This window comes from Homo sapiens, chromosome 15, assembly GCF_000001405.40.
Source record: "Homo sapiens chromosome 15, GRCh38.p14 Primary Assembly".
In the NCBI taxonomy this organism is placed as follows: Eukaryota; Metazoa; Chordata; class Mammalia; order Primates; family Hominidae; genus Homo; species Homo sapiens.
In genome coordinates, this window is record NC_000015.10 from 48,448,357 (window position 1) to 48,466,610 (window position 18,254).

General features: G+C 39.0%; 1 protein-coding gene across 2 annotated transcripts in view; it reads right to left on the reverse strand.

The window, feature by feature from the left end:
- FBN1 (fibrillin 1) overlaps nucleotides 1–18,254 on the reverse strand; it is a 237,397-nt gene that overhangs the window by 40,044 nt on the left and 179,099 nt on the right. For both annotated transcript variants that reach the window (NM_000138.5, NM_001406716.1), the window contains 8 exons: nucleotides 17,434–17,502; nucleotides 17,212–17,337; nucleotides 15,543–15,665; nucleotides 14,726–14,884; nucleotides 11,890–11,961; nucleotides 8,281–8,406; nucleotides 4,206–4,328; nucleotides 412–537 (listed from right to left, as the gene is read on the reverse strand). In NM_000138.5, the coding sequence (NP_000129.3) occupies nucleotides 412–537; nucleotides 4,206–4,328; nucleotides 8,281–8,406; nucleotides 11,890–11,961; nucleotides 14,726–14,884; nucleotides 15,543–15,665; nucleotides 17,212–17,337; nucleotides 17,434–17,502 (924 nt within the window). The remainder of the gene's footprint in view (nucleotides 1–411; nucleotides 538–4,205; nucleotides 4,329–8,280; nucleotides 8,407–11,889; nucleotides 11,962–14,725; nucleotides 14,885–15,542; nucleotides 15,666–17,211; nucleotides 17,338–17,433; nucleotides 17,503–18,254) is intronic.

Sequence of the window (18,254 nt, forward strand, 5' to 3'; positions counted from 1 at the left end):
CTTTGCCTTTGTAGGATTTATAAATTTGCCTTTGAGAATCTGGTACACACTATAAACCCTTCCAAAAAAATGGTCATCTCACACTCAAAAACTCAAAAGAAAATCCACATCAATATTACATATGAATAATAGCCTATTAACATTAATATTTTTGTATTAATATCTTTTTCAATTTACCCCTTAGTCAATTTTTTCTAAACTGACAGCCAAATGAATAACAAAGGAAGAGGTTTATCATGTTCAGATTGCCAAAGATTAAATAGGATATCACTGCTGCATATCTGTCTGTGTTTTTATTTTGTATATAGCAAAAATACTACTAAAAGACTTAGTATTAAATTTTATCCATATTTAGAATCAAATGAAGCTTTCAACAGCATATGAAAAAAATAATAATAATTGCATACTTACCCAAGCACATGGTTTGGTCATCATTTGTTTTAAAACCAGTGTGGCAAAGGCAATAAAAGCTTCCAACTGTGTCAATGCACTGCCCATGACTGCATATATTGGGGATTTCTTGACATTCATTACGATCTGTAAATAAGAAGCATCTTAAGTGAGAACTTAGAAGACAAAATATAATTGAATAACTTACTTCTAGCTATCATTCTCAGGAGTAATCCTAGCTCTAAACTAAGTTAGTGAAACAGATATATTTATTTTTGCATCAAAATGGATTAAAACTTACTCTCATTTACCAGGCATAGTCAGAGTATGTTAACAATACTTGACACAATAAAAAATAAGGGTAAGTAATCAAAAAATATTCTGAAAGATGAGAAAACTTAGAAGTAAAATGGGGGGATTCAAGCCGGGAGGATTTTCTGTTTGATTATCGGCCTACGCAGCACCACAGACTGTGGAATTAATTGAAGTATTTTGTCTAGTTAAGATTTGGTGCCTTAAGTCATGGATAGTTCATGGCTTCCTTTGTAAATTTATATCAAAGTCAAATCCTATGACTAAGATTAAGTTTTTCTTGATGGACAACCTACATGGCTGCTTGTTCAAGTTGCATCTCTTTGTTTTGTCTTATGCCTGTAACTTTTTGTTCCATCTTCACCAAGTATTCACGTCTACACAGGGCTCCTTTTAGCATGTGACAACCTGAACACTGTCTCTTTCTTTTTACTCTCATCCATTCAAAAGGAAGCCCTCTCATCTTGCTTCTGCCAGTCTTTAAGTTCTAAATTATATTTATCATCAACTGAATCTTTGTTGCTTTCCTGAAATCTGATTATCTGAGGGGCAGAATTTAATGCATGAATTCACATATGACATAATTATATGCCAACTTACGTCTCTAATTTTTTAAAGCTCTATGTTTAGAGTAAATGTACTTTGAAGAGCACTGTGCCATTCTGATTTTCCTACTGTCACAGAAGAAAGCAAATGGAGTGTCATCTTTGCTGCAGATGCTGTAGGGCAGATGGCATTTCGCTCTTAGTTAAATAATCCAGACTTGCCGTTTGCCTGCAATGTCTACTCAGAACACAGTAATCATGAATGGACACTTTTTGCTGCACACAGCAACCCTCCCTGTGCCAGAATCATGGACATCTCCTCCATTTCATGTGTCCGGGATGCCACTGTTATGGTTATCTCCTATTTAGTAGATGAATCATCATACCATTTAGAAGTTCCAAGTGAAGTGGAGTATATCATTATGAGGGGAAATTGAAATAGAGCAGCTTAGGAACTACTACTAGCCTATGCAGAAATGCTATTTAACAAATTATGATTATTCCCTTTTGAGAAAATGAATTTAAAGTGAGCCAACTGCTTCCCAGTATAGGCAGAGGAGACTGATTTCCGATCTTGAGGAAGGGTGTCTCAGGTCCTACCATAGTTGGCCCAAAACTTTGGCACCTTCAGGTAGGACTGGACCTGGAGGTATGCAGGGGACGAGGTCTGTCTCATATCTGAGTTCCACAAGGAAATGGAGAGCCTTAAGGATCTTATTAGAAAGGGATCCCCAATTAGGAATTTCCTTTCATCTACTGCCCTATTTCATGATGGTTTAAATAAATGAAAAATGAAACATGGGGAGTACTTTGGAGTTCTACTGGTAAAACTAGAGCAGAAATCTAGGTTTCCACAAGCACCAGAATTTGAACTCTTAGATGATCATATTTGAGGTTGGGATAGGAGGTCTGAACAGGCTACTGTGGAAAGAAACCCAAATAGTCAACAGAGAAAGAGAGGAAACCACAAGGAAGTAGCTGGGAAGAAACTGTTCCTTGTCTTTTGTGGGGCAAGACATTTCAGAAGGGGGTTGCATTTGTTCTAACTATCCAGCTTCTGCTGTCAGACTAGCATCCTGAGCTCAGATATCTAATTATTCTCTCAGCTCTCTCAGCAATAATGTGGGTGCTATGGCCAGGTGTGATTTGGGATTTGAAATAATGTGCTTATGAATTCAAATAAGGATCTCATGATGGAGAGAAAGTTTTAGTTATTTTCATTTTAAACAGATGCACAAAGGAGTACTTTGCAGCATGCCTGAAAAAAAAAATGCCAAGTATAGAATAGCATTTAAAGATATTTTAAAAGTAAGACATAAATAAAGACATTTCTAGAATGAGGTCTTCAACCCAACAGGCTGAATGGTTGCAAAACTCAAGTTAATTCCCTTTCTTCTGAGGATTTCAATGAATAAAGGAAATCAAGCTTTTGGCTGCAAATGATGCTCACTCACAACACTTATGGCTGGCTGCATTTTATGTATGATAGTCTCCTACAAGAAAACAGTAAATGACTTAAGCTCCAGCAGGCTATGGCTGAATGTCTTATCTTGATCTATAAATAGCTCTGTCCCACTTCTTACCTGAGTGTGAAATGGTGTGAAATGACTCATTCTATATTATCAGCAATTCTTTATTTTGACTGGAATTATTTCATCCAGTTCTAAAGAAATATAAATTATGAGCAAAATGCAGGGAAGTGGTATCAATGCCAAGTTTCTCTAGGGTATTGTGGTTCATATCAGAGACGTCCCTGCTTTTCCTGTCCTGTATTTTTAATACATGGATAGCAACAGCTCTGTTGACAAAATGCTAAATACTTACACATTTTCCTTTAAACTCAACAAAACAAGTCTTGATTCTCAATGCGATTTTTTTGTTTGGCAATTACACCCTCTTCCCACCAAGGTCTCATAAAACAATGCAAAATACCCTAAAGAGAACAGTGCACTTCCTACCACTTAATCACTGGTAGGCAAGGAAATCCAAGGAAAATCTGACCACGTTCCCCTGTGTTGTTTCATTCACAAATGCATAAAATATCCAGGAAACCCCCCGTGAAATGAACCGTGAGCAAAATAACACATTCTTCCTGACTAATATACAATGATTTGCTTTGCTAAATATACAGTGATTTTTGCTAAATATACAGATTCAGAATTACTTAAAAACTTACAAGAAAATCATTCTGAGATATTATTTTGTTTCTGGGCTGAAACAGCAGTCTTTTAAATTTTCACACCACTGGCTACAAGATACCATCAGATACTGAATAACTTCACCGTACACTGAAGTTGATAACATGCCAACGTGCTTCCTATTTCTATCACATCCCTGACAAAAGTGAACACCAAAAAAATCTAATCTCTAGGGGTCATGGGAATAAATAGCTAATAAAGGCTGTTGATGTTTGCTGCCTTCAGTGAGTGACCCTTTCCCTGTAAGATGACTGGGAAGAAAAGCGATGGCTTTGTTTGTTCTGTTTCTGCAGATTAATCTGACCCAGCTCAGGAGAGCTTCACTGTCTAGATTTGGGGTATGCAGCCAAGATGGTGAAAACCTCACCTTTCTGAGAGGGATTCTGTGGAAGGAAAAAAATCATTTGGTCCTAAATGTTGCTTAGGGGAATGTGTGTATGCATAATTGTGTGTGTGTGTAATGTGTGGGGGTGAGTGTTTGCAGGCAGGGCAGCAGACAGGCAAATACGAAATCTATGTATGCGAATGATTTACTTCTTGTTTTGAAAATATCTCATCCAGAAAGAGGATTAAAAAGCTAAGTGTTTAGATATTTTGACAATATCCCTTTTTCCAATTTAGTTTAATATTAGAGTTCATCAATCTAAATCTTAACTCATATATTCTTCAGCTTAACTATCTGAAAATAAATCCAGATATCTGAAGCTTCATGAAGACAAACTCTTGGGTAGGCATGTCCAGCCTGTGGGGCACTACATACCATTGCACTGTCCTGTGGAGGTGAAGCGGTAGCCGGGCTTACAGTCACAGCGGTAGCTGCCTGCAGTGTTGATGCATTCGGCGTTGCGCTGGCACACTGGGCCGTTCTGACACTCGTCAATATCTACGAGCAGAAGAGAACTGAATTTGAAGGAGAACAGAATCTGGTGTCCAGTCAACAAAGCCTCTCACATGAAAACAAATTTATATTTTATTTTGATCTGTTCTATTGAAAAGACAACATAGATGTGTACAGCAGCTTTATTTATTGCCAGAATTTGGAAGCAACCAAGATGTCCTTCGATAGGTGAATTAACAAATAAACTGTGGTACATTCAGACAATGGAATGTTACTTAGCACTAAAAAGAAATGAGCTATCAAGCCATGAAAAGACATGGAAGAAAATTAAATATGGCCAGGTGCGGTTGCTCACACCTGTAATCCTAGCACTTTGGGAAGCTAAGGCGGGCGGATCACCTGAGGTCAGGAGTTTGAGACCAGCCTGACCAACATGGTGAAACCCCGTCTCTACTAAAAATACAAAGTTAGCTGGGCATGGTGGCGGGCACCTGCAATCCCAGCTACTTGGGAAGCTGGGGCAGGAGAACCGTTTGAGCCTGGGAGATGGAGGTAGCAGCGAGCCAAGATCATGCCATTGCATTCCAGCCTGGGCAACAAGTGCAAAACTCCAAGTCCAAAACAAACAAACAAACAAACAAAAAATAAAACAAACAAAAAAAAAACACACACAAAAAAAAAGGAAAAAAAAAGGAAAAAGAAAAAGAAGAAAAAAGAAAATTAAATGTATATTACTAAGCGAATCAGAAGCCAATCTGGAAAGGCGACATAATGTATGATTCCAACCATATAACATTCTGGAAAAGGCAAAACTCTGGAGACAGTAAAAAATCAGTGGTTGCCAGGGGTTAGGGGAGATTAGGGGATACACAGGCAAAGCACAGAGAATTTTTAGGGCAATGAGATTATTCTATGAATAGTTATGGAATGGTGGATACATGTCATTATAAATTTTTCCAAACCCATAGAATGTACAACACCAAGAGCGAGCTCTAATGTAAATCATCAGAGTGGACTCTGAGTGATAATGATGTCAACGGAGATTCAATTGTAACAAATGCACCACTCTGATGGAGGATGCTGATGATGGGGGAGGCTGTGCATGTGTAGGGGTAGGGAATATATGATAAATCTTTGTGCCTTCTTCTCAATATCGCTGTGGACCTAAAACTGCACTAGAAAATAAAGTCTATTAAAAAAAAAAGAAAGAAAGAAAGGAAGACCGAAAGTCCATTATCTAAACTTTCCCACTTAGTAATATTTATAAATGCAAGGCTTGATTTATGACCACATATGGACTCTAATGATGCTCACATCTAAAAAAAAGTCATGAAACTTGGCTGCTAGGGCCAGCACTTGACATGGGTATAGATTAATATCCTAGGAAGCCTTGTATTTACTCAAAGATCTGGATTTTATGATTCAATAAGGTTGCTATTGTCTGAAAGGCTGCAAGAGCAGAATGTCTCAAATCTTAAAGTCCACATGAATCACTTGGGATCTTGCTAAAATGCAGATTCTGACTTGGCATGTCTGGAAAATGGCCTGAGAGTCTGAATTTCTAATAAGTTCCCAGCTGATGCAGGTGCTCCTGGTCTGTAGAGAGTGCTTTGAGGTACAGGGCTGTAAAGACACCTGCTCAAATTACTACCACAAGGCAATCAAATCAAGAAAACCTAACATGGGAGTTATCATAAAACTACTGAAAACAAACCAACTCTCATTAAAACAGAAAAGATTTTGGATAATGGATATTGTGTGTTCCAGAGTTTTGACTTTGCTTAGGGGGTTGTCTGTCTACAAAACAAAACAACAACAACAAACAACAACAACAAAAAACAGATACTAATATAGTTCAAATTCATGGCATCACAAAAGTTACTACATGTCCATGCTATATCATGGGGCAAAATACATGTTTCCCTCTTCCCTGCTCCAGTGGAACAATCTAATTTACAGACTAAGTCCAATAAAGGGGATGGCCTATAACACAGGTGAAGGTTGGCCCTTAGTACCAGTTCTGGGCTTTTACACAGAAGTTGGCTCGACCAAAGAAGTTCCTACAAGGGGGTGGCAAATACATCAGCCGATGCCTCTTGGGCGTGATTCTGTGGTGGAAAACCCTCAGGACTGTCAGTCAGTCAGTGGGGGTTCCTGTCTAAGGCAGGTGGATTGTGCCTCTCTGGGCAACAGACACAGGAGCAGGAGTGTGTCTGCCTTGGGTTACAAGGGACCCAGCACCACCTCACTCACCAGGTCTGCCCTGCTTTGTATTCAGGATGTATAGAAACACAGGGGGCAGATTGCGCCACTGGAGAAACTGAGTAGTGTCACAGAGAAGCACTTCTATGATGTGGCATCTGATAATGTGGCTACTTGGCAAGAGCAGAGGCGTGGAAGCTCCCTAAATCACCTCTACAATCCATTCCAATTTCAGCATTGCTGAGGCATGTATGCACTCAACCTTCATTTTCCTATTCTAAGAGCTAAGAGTATGCTAGGAAGCAGCTGACCCTGGATTAAACATTCACCCTGAAGACGGATATTCTGTGAAATGGAAATCAGAAGTTGGAGCACTTAGTTATCTCAATATCCACAGAATGCTACCCTGACAGCAAAATGCCTTGCATTGGTACAGTTGCATGTGTTTAATCTCATGGATCTAGCAAGGTCTAAGTTGACTTGGTGGTCATGGGTGGTCTTGTCTATGGGTTCTGGCCAAGGCCTGCAGCTTCAGCAAATATAAGTGGTTAAAAGGTACCTGGGTACAGTCATCATCAAAGCCATCTCTGAGGGGAAGGGTGGGGAGGAAAATGCCACAGGCAGGTGGCAGGCATGCTGAGCATGTTTGAGAGGGGGAAAAGTGCGGCTGTGAGGGAGGCAGCCAACTCTAGCACTGTAAGATCATCTGCCGTGGGTTCCCTCTCCCACATCCATGCTTCCTCTCCAGGTACCTGATCCTTGATGGCTTCCCAGAGCCCAGGGACTTGGGCCAAGGTCTGAACTGGCTATCTTCTTAGGAAGGCTCGGAAGGGCTATTACCCCATTCCCACTAACTCACACAGCAGGCAGAGTAAGGGACATGTGCCCACTTGGACACAGTAACTGAAAGCCTGGTGACAGGAACTTAACAAGTATGTGGTTAGGACTATAACTTTACTTGTGGTATATAAGTTGTCTTCAGTATAGACAAAAAAGTTTTTTTTTTAACATTAAAATGTTGACATATGTGCTATAATACGTGCTCTAAGGGGTAATAACCCTTTCTAACATGAATAAAAATTCTGCTAGAGGCCTGAAGTGTAAGTATTAAATAGAAAATTATTCCAACTATCCTGGGCACATGGTATATTTAATAACCAGTAATGTCCCTTTTACTAAAATGTAAGAGAACTATCTTTCCCAGATGCAGGAAAAAATATGAAGTGCTATAAGGAATGCTCCGAATCACAGTACATATACATGGCAACAGGAGGTAATTTGAAAATGAAAAAAGTACATGTGCATGCCAACATTCTTCATATAAAATCAAATTTGCTGTTCTTGCCATTTGGAATTCTCTCATGCATTTGGAATATCTGCATTAACCTTGTTTTCACTTGGGAGTAGCAAAGTCTCTGTCTGGAAGAGAAATGATTTTGAGAGTCAACTAGGATGACTGTCCACTCATACTGATTTTCCAGCAATGTGAAACGAAAGCAATCTATGTGACACACCCAGGAACTCAAAGCTTTTTCATATCAGCTGGGAAGTCTAATATTAACACACTGTGTGTTGGGGGAAAGGGGCTGGGAATGTGCCTCCTGGTTTTTCCACTGAAGTTAGTGAATTTTTTTTTTTTGCATGAAATTTCATGTTGTTCCACACCATGCCCTTTACTATTTCTAGAGCTTAATGCATTTCTGAAATTTCAATGTTGTGAAATTCGCCAAGTGTGTATCAAGTAGCTCATCAGTTAGCTCTTTTCTGGATATGATAAAGTCATGATGCCACTTACCTTCACAAACCAACAACTTGTCATTATAGAAGAATCCCACTGGACATTCACATCGGAAGCTGCCAACCATGTTGATACACACTCCATTTTCACAGACCCCTGGGATCTCCCGGCACTCATCAATATCTAGAGACAGAGTAGTCATTCATGAGTGACAGGACAGCACATGATCCCTGTGCAGGGTAAGACAAGATGGAAAGTGCGTGCGTGTGTGTGTGTGTGTGTGTGTGTGTGTGCGTGCATGTGTTGGGGTGGTGGTGATGGCAATAGGGACATCAACGAATAGCAAATTGAGATAACTAAACCACTTTCCAGACATGAGTCTAACTGGATTTAAATATATGTTCTGGGTTTTGCTTCAGAATGTCAATTTTGTACAGGTAGGAGATATCTTTGTATCCTCTGGGCACTGTGGATGCACCAGATGAGTAGAATAGAGGGATGGTCAAGGGTAAACAGCCTCTCCACCCAAGTGTGCCTATATTTAGGGAAAAAGGCAGAGGTGAGCTGGTAAAGAACCACAGAGGAGCACATGGTCATATGGAACTCTGATCTTTCAAATTCCAGTTTAACTCCCCCTTCCTACTTCATGTGGCTTTAGAAAGGAGGTAAGTCAGGTGTGGGGATGTCAGCTGGGCTGGGGCTGACAATAAAAACGAGGTCAGCACCAAGGAAGAACTGTCGCAGTAGAATGTGTGCTTCCTAAGACTGGGAGTTGGGCTTGGCTCTCCAACACTGTGTTATGGTTCCTTAGCACTCTACATGACAGGTAGTAAGTGCTCAATTCAAATTTGTTCAGTTAAGAGCAAGTGTCTGGCAGTGTGTTGGTGAGCACTAAAACAGGACCAAGAGTGAGAACACAGCCAGGATCCAGGCTGCTAAGGCAGGGCTGGCCAGCTATGGATAGAGACTTTGGACACCTCACCAGCTTGGCCATGTCCCCAGCCTGGAGTGGTCCCATCTCTGTCTTACCCACTCTGAACTCCTGACCACTGAAGTGCCCTCTAGGATAAGAGTAGTAATAGTAGTAATAATGGTAATAGTATTAATAGTGACAGTATCTCATTTGCTGCATGACTGGTACATTTCTCAAGCATTCAACCTGTATTTATTGGCTGAATTATCACAGCCACCCCATGAGATGGTCTCGGTACTATGACTATTCTAACTAAGAGATGAAGCAAGTGAGGCCAAGCCACAGGATATAACCTGCCCAAGACCAAGCAGCCAATGAAAGGCAGAGTCAGGATTTGACACTGGGACTCAGTTAACAGGCCATCCTGCCTCCCTTATCATATAAGGGAAGATCGTATTATGGTGATTTCCTGCATCACCCTAATACAATCTTCACAGAACTGTCATCAACACTTTTGTTATCCTGGAGGGCCCTTCCATCAGCCCCTTGGCTGGGTTTGATGAAACACCTCAGCTGGGAGGTATGCAAAGCCTTGGTCTACAATCCAAAGTCTTCCAATTCACTAGTTTCTATGACTGTTGTTGAGATACGTTGTTTACTTATTATAGTCAGGAGCCTTTGCAAGGTACATACTTTGCTTGCATACTTGTGAGAAGATGATCACGGACTGAAGTGGAGCCTACAAGAGCTGCTGCAATTTTAGAAGAACCACACTCTATAACCAATCTGTTTTAAAGGAGAAATTTGATGTCATAGATTTATTTTAGACCCTTTTTAAAAAAGGGCTTGATTTTGTGTGAAGGCAAAATTGACCTATTTAATGAAAAGAAACAGCTTAGAATCTCAAAGGGTTCATTGCTATTTTGAATACACGCAATTATGTCTTTAGATCTTTCACACCTTTGTCATTCATGTCATGAAAATGCCATATAAAGTTACATCACAACTGTGTATCATAAGTAAACAAAAAACAAATTCAGATGCCATTCATTCAGTGTGGGTTAGAACACGAAACATCATATTCACATTCGTTTTAAATATAAGTGATATATTATTATCAAGTTTAACAATAACGGGCTGAGTCTAATTTCCAGCCATTGTTAGGTATAAAATAGCAAAAGGATATATTAAAAATTATATTTTCTTTTCCTGTCAGGATTTTATTTGAACTTCAACTTAGTGAAGTTTATATTTTAAGACAAGATTGATAAACATGCTATAGTTTTAACCCTATATGAATGGACTCCACATGCCAACAATCATAAGATCTTCCAAAAGGAGAGTATAAAGCTTAAATAAAACAAAGTTTTTCAGTCATCTAAATATTTTGTCATGCTGGAATTTGGTAACAATAAGCATATAGCTAAATAACAGATGTCCAGTTTTCAAGAGCTAGAAGCAAACTAAGCCATGAGTCAGGACTGTGTTCTGGTCCCAGCTCTGTTATTAATTAGCTGGGTGGCCTTGGGTGAGTCCCTTCCCCTCTCTGGGCCTCTGTCTCCTCAAATATGAAGCAAGGCATTTGGACTAGATGAAGTCTGAAGCCTTTCCAGCTCTCCTAGTGGACAACGCTAATGTTCTTTCTAGTCTTTGCTTACTGCCAAACTTGGAGGGCAGCCTTGCTGGGGTACATGCCTGGTTGGTCCGTGGAGAACCACTACCATTACAGACCACTTATCTTGTGATCACAGATTCTAGGGAGGTTAAAAGATCTGTTTTGGGAAGGGGAAAAACAAAGCAGCTAGGGCCAGGTGTTCCATGCCAATGTCATTTAGCAGTTTTTCTTTCCAAACCATGAAGTTTCTTTGGACGTGGACGAGACTGTGGAGCCATATGGATTTGGCACTAAGGGAGCCAGGCTGATTGCTGGACCAGACTCTTGTTTTCTTAAACAAGGTCACTGGAAAGGCTGATGTGGATTTTAGTTTACTTATTATGAATAAGGTGGAATAAAGCAAGTGGTGATGTTTGCTACTAGACACAACTGTGCAGACTTAAGAGGGCATCTAAGGATGCATATAAATCACACCAGGGAAAAACTCAGAGAATGCAATAGCTTTCCATCTACTTTTATGTTATTTGGTTTTAAACCACAAGGGCATTGCCTGCACTGGCTGAGTGCTGTGTAATACTTCTGATTCTTGCACAAGCATCTCTCCCAATGTTGTGTTCTCTGCTTCATTTACCAGGCAGGGCCTCAGACCGAAAAGATTTTTATTTCACATCTGAAATTCCCAAAGCAGATGACCTGAGGAGATTCCATGTAAGATAAAATTGATCCACGAAAGGACTTTATGTAAACAATCTACACGTAAGGATTGGTGTGAAGTCACTTAACCTGGTCTTAGTCAGAAGGAAGGATTGAGAATTACAGTTAAATCAAATGTCAACTGGCCCCACTCCCAGAATCTCTCCCCATGTTGATGCCTAAGGTTGGTGTAACTATGCTTGATTGTAATTTTGGGAAAAGCTTTCCAATCCCCTTAATCATGAACAACAAATGTTGTTGCCAATTAGGTGGAGCTGCACAGGGTGTTTGCACAGTTTGTTTCAAACTAAGAATCAGTGTTTCAATAAAGTGAAAGGCATTGTTTAATATTTTTTTTCCTTTAAGAAAAAAATGGGAACTGAAAAAATAATGCTAACACAAAGGCAAAAAACCAGAAAGTTCTGACAATGCCGTCATGACTCACCAACGGGTAAACCGGTATAAATGTCGATGACAAAGCCTGGCCTTTGACTTCCACAGAGTGTAGCAAACTCATCTGCAATGATTAAACAAAGGTGGGATGGGAGGATAGGGGTCAGCAAAGAACAATAATTGGACTGAAAAAAATTATTTTGTAAGCATTCTTGAAAGGTATTTGTCTGTAGTTTGAAGAATTTAAAATAAAAAGTAAACCTGAAAATTCCTACAGATATAATCTTGCCTGTAAGACAAATATTGAAGAAAAAAATGACCTAATGTTGACGTGATAATGAAGGAGAAGTAGAGATCCCCAGATCACATGCCACTCATTCACATGAGTTTACCTGTAGGAGTTTGGATTTCAATATGGATGTTATTCAGCTCTGAACTCAGGGACTGGTAAGAGTGCCTCTCTCTACTCTGCATTTAGAGATCTAGGGTTTGAGGAACACGTATAAAAGCCATTTTCTCGGTAGATTATAGGAGACCATAGCAAATCTAGCCACATTCTTGACATCAGATCTATTAATGACTAATTTGGGTCAATCAACCAACCTTCACCAGTTTTTCAGTTTTTGGAGCTGGATTTCATTTGGTACAGCTCTGTCATATTCTCTCCCTCTCCCTCTCTCCTTTTCTGTCTCTCTCTGTCTTTCTCTCACTTGAATTAGTCAAATTTAACAGATAATAAAGGATGAACTAAATTCTATCAGCAGTCCCTTCTAACTGTGAGATTTTGTGATTCCAGATCATGACTGTAACTGGTAAGGTATGGTATCAATCTAAGCTTCAGATGGCCATTGCCTTATTGGTCACGCTCAGTGAAAATCAGTAAAAGATTTCTGGAAGTATTTTAATCAAAATACAGCATGTTATTCTCCTTGTGTTTTGTCTCCTTAATCTATGAGTGTTCACTTCCAACACTGTAACGCCAGCTGACATTGGTCACCTAAAGAAATTACAGGGACTCTTAAAATATGTGCAGATTTCACAGCTAATGAAAAGCCATGACTGAATTTGGTGAATATCCAACATCAAGAAGAAATCTTGCATTTTACACAAGAGTATGTAGATATTCAAAACTCAGGCAATCATTTCTAAAAGTAAATGTTAGTCTACATTAAGGGTTTCCAAAGTGGTCTCCAGAGGAATATGCAATAATCCATTAGGATAAAAAAGAAAATGCGAGGACTTCTATCTATCTTTGGAAAAATCTAATCTTTAAAAAAATTAATTTTGTGTACACTTTATATTAGAACAGCTCAGAAAAATAATAAATGTATTTTTCAATATAATTGAAAACAAATACATATACACATACATAGATATATATACATAGACTTTTACATATAAATGCACACCAGGTGTGCATAAGCTTCAGATTTTTTACCAACAGGTAAGTACCACCTAAAGTTGTAAAGACCATTATTCAAGATCAAGGGTCAGCAAACTTTTTAATAAAGGGACAGAGAGTAAATATCTTAGGCTTTGCAGGCTGTACAGTCAGTCAAAACTATTTAATGTTGCCATGAAAGCAGTAGTAGACAATATGGAAATAAATTAGTGAGCTCTAAAAAAGTTTTATTTATGGGAAACAAAATCTGAAGTTCATGTAACTTTCATATTATGAAATACGATTCTCCTGATTTTTTCCAACCATTTAAAATGTAGAAATCCTTCTTAGCTTGCAGGCCATTCAAAAGTAGATGGTGGGACAGATTTGGCCCATGGGGTGTATTTTGCCAAGCCCTGGTCTAGAAACATTTTGCAGGGTGGAGGTAAATCAGAATTCTAAGTGGTGGTTATTATATTATTTCTGGAGTAAACAATGGATGGAATAATACATTTTACTAAAAAACAATTTTCTGTTGCATGCAATGTCAGGTAGTACCAAACAACAGATTTAATATTTTATATATCACTGTGGAAAATGGTGTAGGATTCCCTTTATAGAATACCCTAATCAATTCCTTGCATGATAATTTCAACTAACCCAAATCATAATCTTGGCAAATGATGTCATCATCATATACATAATGCACAGCATATACCATATGATATAAGAACAGTACACTAATGTCTTTATTTATTCAAAGGATGCAATTTAGCCTTTTTTTTTTAAGACAAATAACATTATTTAGTTTCTTTCTCCATGAGAATATAAGAAGAAATTTATCTCGATCTCAATATCAAGAAAAGTTGCACTTTCCTTTCATTTTGAGTTTTCTTTATGCTCATTGAGAATTTTGTACTTGATCACATCTCCCTTTTCATAGGAGCTGCTAGAAAGTTTGGGGCTAAAATTATTGCTTATTTCAGGCAAGTGTGTAGAATTCCCGGCTTGAATTTTGTGTATTAGTCCTGCTCCTGGCTCTTTCTTATTCTTGTTTGCCATTTGCCTTATGCTTATTTCTTGTTTAACATTTACATCTTTGTAGGCTGCCTTTAACTATTTTTGGAACAAGTTTAGCTTTAAATAAGTAAAAAGACAAGGAATTATGTTTCCCTTACTGTCACATTGATTTGTCTAATGTTTACAGTCTTTTAGATACATGAAGAATTCAGTAACAATGAGAACATTGTTTATAGTTTATATTTTTGTGATATGCTGAGTCTACAAGTCTGGTTACGTATTAGGGTATACATTAGAAAACATATTCTGTGACTCAGTGTTCGGCTGGAATGACCAGCACCAACTGTGAATTTAAATCATGAGCCGTTTTTTTCCCTGTAAAGATAAACAATGCACACTTTGCTTCCTTCGCTAAGACTGATTTCCCCAACAATTCATGGGTAATTTTTCAACCTATATTTTTGATAATGGAGAAACTAAAACTCACCTGTACTTGGGATGGGACACTGTTCACAGGGCTTGTTCCACGCCCGGCCAATGTTGTAGGAACAGCAGCACATCTTCTTGGTCATGTTGAATAACAATTCTCCATCACAGGTCTGGTTGTCAGCATAGTAGTTTCTGTAGCACAAACTTCTTCTCATATCTAGAAGGGAGGTAAAAAAAAGGATTGGAGGGTTGGTGATGCCATGTGGGAAATCACAACAAATTTCTAAGTGGATACTCAACAAGCAAGTTTCATTTGAATTGTATTGTAGCTTGACTTTGATAAGGACACAAAAAACTTGCTCTTACACAACTTTCTAGCTACCTATGCTGCTACAAGATAAAGGACTTTGAGAAATACATTCCCTGATATTTCATGCCACAGAACTAAGTCATTATATAGCTGTAGCATTAATAAACTTTAAATGACTCTCTGCCCAGTCTCCTAGTAACAATTCCCTACTGCCATTTGGCAATAAGTTTCTCGTTTCCGACTCGTGATGTTTTAATACTGTAGGTCAGCACTGTAAATATAATTGTACAAAGATACACCCAAAAGTCAAACAAAAGAAGTACTATTAACTGTTGTTTGGGATTTTCCAACATACATTTTAGAGAAAACTCCCAACCACCCACCCGTGGTGGTGAAAAAATGCCAAGTTATGATTTATAGGGGAAGAGTCTCCTAACAAGACAGTGAAGGGATGCCAGCACTCAGTCTGATGAGTAACATCACCCTAAGGTGATGAACTTGTGAGCTCTCTTCCTCTTTGTAGATGAGAACCAAACATGCATTACTGAGAAAAGCTTGGACTTACCCATGCAATTATTTCCCCCATTCACTTGCATGTAGTCTGGAGGACAGATACAGGTGTAGTTGCCAACGGTGTTGTAACATGTCCCTGGACCACAGATTCCAGGAGTCTCACATTCATTCACATCTATAATCCAAAGAGAAAGTGGTATGTGAATATGAAAACTTCACATTTTGGAATGGCCTGATACTTAATGAATGTTGACATTAGAGGAGAAAATCTATAGGGTATTTTCAAATAAGATAACGAAAATAGGTATTTCATTCATCCGTGTCCTCTCTCTGTGTAAATGTGTGCCTTTTGAGGAAAGAGGGTTTTAGAAAAGGAACTCTTGGCTGGGCATGGCGGCTCATGCCTGTAATCCCAGCATTTTGGGAGGCCAAGGTGGGTGGATCACTTGAGGTCAGGAGTTCCAGACTAGCCTGGCCAACATGGTGAAACCCCATCTCTACTAAAAATACAAAAATTAGCCAGGCGTGGTGGTGCACACCTGTAGTCCCAGCTACTCTACTCGGGAGGCTGAGGCAGGAGAATTGCTTGAACTCTACATGCAGAGGTTGCAGTGAGCCAAGATCATGCCATTGCACTCCAGCCTGGGCAACAGAGCAAGACTCTGTCTCGAAACAAACAAACAAAAAACAAAAACAAAAAAGAAAAGGAACTCTTGCCTTCTGACATGAGGCATTATCAAATATAATAATGAGTCTCCTAATAAATTAACCTATAATATCCTCAAAGGTAGGCAGAGATAGAAATGTGGAGAAATTAAAATATCAAATATCCCTTAGGAAGACAAGTACGCTTCTTATGCTCACAAAATCTATGATAGGGTATATAGTATCCCGAAGCCATTAACAGCTGGCTTCATGAATCTGCATTGGTAAGGCAGCATGGAGCATATTTCACATCCTCTCCCCACTTCCAAATGAAGGAGTTGATTCTAATCTTTGTTAACTCCATGGGTCTTAGAGCTGTGCCATATACACTGTGATGTTCAACTAATACTCAATAAGGTTGCCATTGTCTGGGTGACCTAATAAGCCATTAAAGAGCCAGGGGAATATTTCTTATGCAGAGCACAAGGAGGTCTCTTTCCTAAACAATTGTGTGATTCCTCCATGTAGATGAAAACCATGGCTCATGGCTGAAGTGCTCTGAAACCTGTAAGTGGTTAATATTCTCCACCTTTCCAGTAACACAGGATGAACAAGGGCCACCACTCATAGCATAAAGCCAAAGGGCCGCCTTCTAGGAGAAGCTTATTTGAATACATGAGCACCAATGGTAAGTGGTGAAGGATTAAAAGAAGAGGGCCCAGAACTCCTCCAAATAGAGAAGGAACACTGAAATTGGACCTGTGCCATTCATGTAAAAAATGGCTTTTCTGAAGAGCATGGAAAAATATTTTGTAAGCATAAATGAGGCTATGGTCCAGCAGAATAAGATTCTGTTTTTCTCAGGAAAAGAGGGAGATTTAGGACTTACCAGAAATGACATCACTTGAGTAACATTAGTCCAAATTGCCACATGTGAGACATATCTACCTGGCTATGTTCGTGTTTAGAACATTGTGCTACACTGCTAAATTCTATTTTCCTAGTAACCATATTCTGGTTTTGCAGGTCAGTTCTTGATATCTGCAAGACCTTATCATCCTACCAGGACCATTTACCATCACACACTCGTGTATCTTCATTCAGGTAGTAGCCGGTTGGACAGCGGCACTGGAAACTCCCAAAGGTGTTGATACATTTTCCTCCTTGGCACAGCCCTGGTAGCTCCTGGCACTCATCAATATCTATCAAAATCAAAACAAAGGCATTCCTTTAGCATTGTAAATAAACCCAAGGAAATTCAAGTTGTGTGTGCTTTAAGACAAAGGAAACACAATTACCTTCCAATATAACGGTGATAGGATTTGGTCGGAAACCTTCCCCTCCAGGACAAAGAATTTTGTACTCGGCTATTGAAACAAAAATTCAAATTGAGTTGTTTTGAATCTAAAGTTTTTAGAAATAGTATCCTCAAGAGAAATACTCACATATCCAACTGAAAATGTTCATTTTCAGGAATCTTTAGTTGTTACTCTGCCCGTCTGAAGTAAGTTAACACCTTTGTGTACACTTCCCATTTTCCAGTGGTTTTTATTATGTGTCCCCAGTGCAAGGCCACTGTCCTCAGTCCTTGAACTCTAACCACTCCCTGGTCTTACATGTGTGTGGACTGTTTTATACCTTACCTTCATCCCTTATTTCTTTTTACAGATTTTCTTTCCCTTTTTATTTTCTGAAAAACTTCATCTTCATTTTTATGTTCTGTTCAGCCTACTTTCTGGGAACTACAGCTTCCCTTAATAATCTTAATTGGCTTCTTTCCAAAACCCTTTCCAAATAGAGCCTTAGGAAAAGCTGTTCTCTGTTGATTCCCATCCCAATTCTCTCCTTAATGACTAGAGACATTTCTTGCACCTCTGTTTCTATGGGTGGCAATATTGATTCTCTTGGTTTCCAAAAACAACTTTCTATAGTGTCCTTGGGTTTCCCCCATTAATTCTTTCATCCAAGTATTTTACCCAGAAACATTTATTTCAGTGGTATGCACCAGGACGGTGATATGTACAGGACATGTGAATAAGAATGTCTGTAACCTGCTGCATCATCCCAGTGAGGAGCTATAAGATCAGTTCTTTCATAATGTCATGGTCTGTCCAGATCT